Source organism: Homo sapiens, chromosome 5 (genome assembly GCF_000001405.40).
Source record: "Homo sapiens chromosome 5, GRCh38.p14 Primary Assembly".
In the NCBI taxonomy this organism is placed as follows: domain Eukaryota; kingdom Metazoa; phylum Chordata; class Mammalia; order Primates; family Hominidae; genus Homo; species Homo sapiens.
Window position 1 is genome coordinate 104,314,827 of NC_000005.10, and position 5,013 is coordinate 104,319,839.

Consider the following 5,013-nt stretch of genomic DNA (forward strand, 5'->3'; position numbering starts at 1 on the left):
GTTAATCTAGGTGCTATTCAGACATGCTAAATGTTTAGTTACAAGTGACTTTAAAATAAATGTGGAAATTTTAGTTCTTCAAGGAGTTTGGCTCTCAATTTATTCCATTGATGAAAATGTCTTCCCATTTTTCCCACCGGGATGATTTTTATTGGGTCCACCATGGCAATTTCAATCATTTAATCTTGTCAGCCCCATAGTTAGCATTGCATTCCACTAAGTCTTCCTGAGTTGGGAGCATGGGATAGGAGAGGACAGGAATACATAAGTCGTCACAATACAGAATATGACTTCCCAATTTGTGTTTGTTTCTCAGTGCTTTTTTTTCTAAGCAGAGCATAAAAATGATATGCTAATTTGCATGGTTTTGAGTAATTAGTCTCTTTATATATTCCACACCCCAGTGTTATAGCAGGAGGGACTTCCCCATGCAGGTGTAAACAAATAGGATGGTAGGGTAACTTTGGGTTACACTGCATCAAATTTTTCTGAAGCCCTTAGGAAACCCCGTCTTCATGAAAAGATTATTTCAAAGAAGAGTTTACTTAAGTTTTCTAGCTTATATACATTAGTGATTTACATACTTAAATTATTTGATGAAATAGTTATTTTTTTGTGTGTAATTACTTATGCTTGGGAATAATATAAGCGTAAACTAGGTCAAATTTCATCTTAACACATTTTAATTCACTTCTCTAATATTGATCATCCACATATTTTCCAAAACAGATCTAACTTAATGTTGAGGTACAAATTACGTTTCATATTTAGGAGAGAAAATTTCTATGGCGAGTTTAAATATAAAAATCCCTATTTTTTTTTCTGACACATACTAATAAAATTAATTTTTATCCAGTGCTCTTATATTTCCAATGATATTTGAATTTTCCTGATATATCAGGATGAAAAACTTAGGTAGCTGCTAAATATATTTTACAACACTCTTTAATATCTGACCTTTAGGTCAAAGCAGTTTATAGTATTTGTCATCCAAATAAAATTGATTTTCTGAGAGCATGTAAATCAGTAATAGAATATGTTCAGTTTATAGATAAGCAATCTTTTTTACAAACCTATATTTAAATATAAATAATAGTGAAGAAAAAAATCTATGAACTAGCTTATAAATGATACTCTAGGGGTGCCATTTTGGCATAATAATGTTAAATATAAAAATGGTAGTTAAATACTTCTTAAAGTCCTATTATCCCATCTCTGCTTCAGTTATGTTAACATTTCCATCAGATTTCATTTATCTTGCATTTCTGAGTTCTGGTCTTTGCTCTGCTGGTAAAATGATATGAGTCAATGTGTCACCTGATCCTCACGATTCAGAATTCCATTTTACGTAATTAAAGACTCTTAATCTCAATTAAACTCAATACATCTTCTTTTATTCTAAGTAACCTGTAGTCTAGAGTTACAATTTTCACTAATACATTAGTCTTTTCTGTGACACTTTCTAAGTTTTCTTAGCTATAAAATTAAGAAATGTTTTACACAAATTCCCTGTCTTCACAGAGATAGTATGGAATGTGTAGTTTTTAGTCCAATACACATGGCTTAGAATTTTAGTCTCATTCACTGCATTGGTGCAGGGCCTGGCATAAGCTAGCTTCACATTACTTTCAGTTCTTTTCATCCATTTTATCCACTATTCGTTATGTGCAGGGTTAAGACACAGTCTTATAAAGGTCCACATATTAAAAATAAGCCATTATGGCAATGTGATTTCAGCACTAACAGAATGAAACACTCAAAGGATAGCACGTGCAAGTTTATTTTTCATTGTAATATTAATACAAGCAAGAAATATCATTTTTCAATTCTTATTTTGATTGTCACCATAAAAATTTGGCTAATTGTAGAAAGTAGAAAAGTTCCTCTTCAAAGCTCATCTTGGTTTAAAAATAAAATAATAGACACTAGAAATAATAGCTTCTTACTCTAAAGCCTCCTATCAACCATTAGTTCTTACACTTCAGCCCAGTTAGTTGCTTTGGCTTACTCAGGCATGTCTGGACAGGCCCAGTCCAGCCTTAGCTCATAGCTTATGGCCCTTCCTTATTTGGAAATGTTATTGCTTCCTTAAACCTTTCATAAGCAACTTCCTCTCTTTCTTTGTTCTCCCTTGCACTTACCTATTTAGAAAAGTTTTAGGCTGTTAGCAAATTGGCTATCAGTTTAAGACTGTGAGGTCCATCTCCAGCCAATGGATGCAGGACACAGCAGTAAGGACCACCCAAATGTGTAAGGAATAAATATGTCTGCTTTTCCTTTGTTCAAGTGTGTTCTTGCCATTGTTCCATCTGCAAGAGGCACCCTTTCTGCAGAAAGCAGAAATGGCCTTGCTGAGAGAATTAAATTTATGTTCGAGTGCTATTTCTTTTTTTTTTTTTTTTTTTTTTTGGGACAGAGTCTCACTCTGTCACTCAGGCTGGAGTGCAGTGGTGAGATCTCAGCTCACTGCAAACTCCGCCTCCCGGGTTCACACCATTCTCCTGCCTTAGCCTCCCGAGTAGCTGGGACTACAGGCTCCTGCCACCATGCCTGGCTATTTTTTTGTATTTTTAGTAGAGATGGGGTTTCACCATGTTATCCAGGATGGTCTTGATCTCTGGACCTCGTGATCCACCTGCCTCAGCCTTCCAAAGTGCTGGGATTACAGGCGTGAGCCACCGCGCCTGGCCTCAAGTGCTATTTCTTTGCGGCACTGGGGAACAAACATTTCTAACACTAATATTTGAAGGTTGAGCCATATCTCTAGCAACAGCATAAGAATATCCTACTTTTTTGGATTATTATGGTATTAACCTTCATAGTCCTTATCTGAGTCCACTGAATAAGTAAGCAATTTCCATCTGCATTATCATGCCTTGTTTCTAGGAGCGAAATGCTCTATAGAGCATCCTCTGCTTAATTTAAGGTGAGTAAGATAGTGAATATCACATTGCTAATTGCCAATCCAGAATCACTTACACCTAGCAATTTTTTTTTTTTTTTTTTTTTGAGATGGAGTCTCACTCTGTCACCCAGGCTGGAGTGCAGTGGCATGATCTTGGTTCACTGCAACCTCTGCCTCCCACGTTCAGGCGATTCTCCTGTCTCAGCCTCCCAAGTAGCTGGGATTACAGGTATCTGCCACCATGTCTTGCTAATTTTGTTTTGTATTTTTAGTAGAGATGGAGTTTCACCGTGTTGGCCAGGCTGGCTTTGAATTCCTGACATCAAGTGATCCACCTGCCTTGGCCTCCCAAAGCACTAGGATTACAGGTGTGAGTCACCATGCTTGGCCACACATAGCAATTATTTAGAGCAAATGCACCTACCCAAACTGCTCCATGTGAGCTTCCAGCAGAAGCTCTTATAATCTTGAGTTGCCTTGCAGGATACTCCCTGAAGCTGACTACAGAGCAGAGAGGCAAAGGGAGCACATTAGGCTTCTGAAAGGTAGTAACAACAACTGCAAGGAAATTTTAATTTGTTTAAATTAGTATTTAAATTTGTCATGATAATGGTTAAAGCCTCATTTTTAAAAATAATTTCTAAGTCAAATTTTATAGCAAATAATCATATCCCTAACCCTTGGAATGGTCATCCAAGGAAAATGAGAATAGAACCTAAATGAATAATACATACTAGAAGAATTTTCATTACAGTTGGACTTTAAAGTAAGGTATAATATTTTGTCACCAAGAAATTGTTTTTAATGCCTGTGCTCACTATTGGGGAACTATTACTATGGTTTTAAATTTATAGGACTTTATCTCACTTTGTATAGAAATTCTTTAAAAACAAAAATATGAGGACGCAGATTCCTGAGATGCATATTTTTTTTCATTACATGATATGGTTTGGCTCTGTGTCCCCACTCAAATCTCATCTCCAATTGTAATCCCCATGCGTTGAGGGAAAGACCTAGTGGGAAGTGATTGACTCATGGGGGTTGGTTTCTCCCATGCTGTTCTCCTGACAGTGACTGAGTTCTCAGGAGATCTGATGTTTTAAAAGTGTGGCACTTCCCCCCACCTCCCATTTCACCATGATAAGATGTGTGCTTGCTTCGTCTTCATCTTCTACCATGATTGTAAGTTTCCTGAGGCCTCCCCAGCCATGTGGAACTGTGAGTTTATTAAACCTGTTTTCTTTATAAATTACCCAGTCTCAGGCAGTTCTTTATAGAAGTGTGAGAATGGACTAATACAGTATTATTTAATGGTATCCAGTAATGGATCTTTTCCTTTTTTCTATTCACCTCATAAACAGTGAAGACAAATTAACTTGGAAATTTTAGTAACCCAAAGAAGATTTTAGTTAATTATTGAAAGGAGAGTGCATTTTATTTCTTCCTAATTCATCTGGTTATTTTTATTTTTACTATTTTTTTTTTTTGAGACAGTCTCGCTCTGTCCCCCAGGCTGGAGTGCAGTGGCGCGATGTTGGCTCACTGCAACCTCTGCCTCACTGGTTCTAGCGATTCTCCTGCCTCAGCCTCCCAAGTAGCTGGGATTACAGACGCATGCCACTACATCCAGCTAATTTTTGTATTTTTGGTAGAGACAGGCCTTTCCCATGTTGGCCAGGCTGGTTTCGACCTCCTGGCCTCATGTGATCTGCCTTGCTCGGCTTCCCAAAGTGGTGGGGTTACAGGCGTGGGTCACTGTGCCTGGCCAGGTTAAATTTTCTTAAATAATTAATATCTCGGCTGGGCGTGGTGGCTCACGCCTGTAATCCCAGCACTTTGGGAGGCCGAGGCGGGTGGATCACAAAGTCAGGAGATCCAGACCATCCTGGCTAACATGGTGAAATCCCCTCTCTACTAAAAATACAAAAAATTAGCCAGGTGTGGTGGCAGGCACCTGTAGTCCCAGCTACTCAGGAGGCTGAGGCAGGAGAATGGAGTGAACCCAGGAGGCGGATCTTGCAGTGAGTTGAGATCGCGCCACTGTACTCCAGCCTGGGCAACAGAGCAAGACTCCGTCTCAAAAAATAATAATAATTAATATCTCTATA

General features: G+C 38.1%; 1 annotated feature.

The window, feature by feature from the left end:
* Nucleotides 1,555–2,754: an enhancer, noted in NCBI's record as "MED14-independent group 3 enhancer chr5:103652082-103653281 (GRCh37/hg19 assembly coordinates)". NCBI's record gives its function as "activates an origin of replication core promoter dependent on BRD2, BRD4, P300/CBP and CDK7 cofactors, and independent of MED14, by STARR-seq in HCT116 cells {active_cell/tissue: HCT116}" and the evidence as "EXISTENCE:reporter gene assay evidence [ECO:0000049][PMID:35650434]".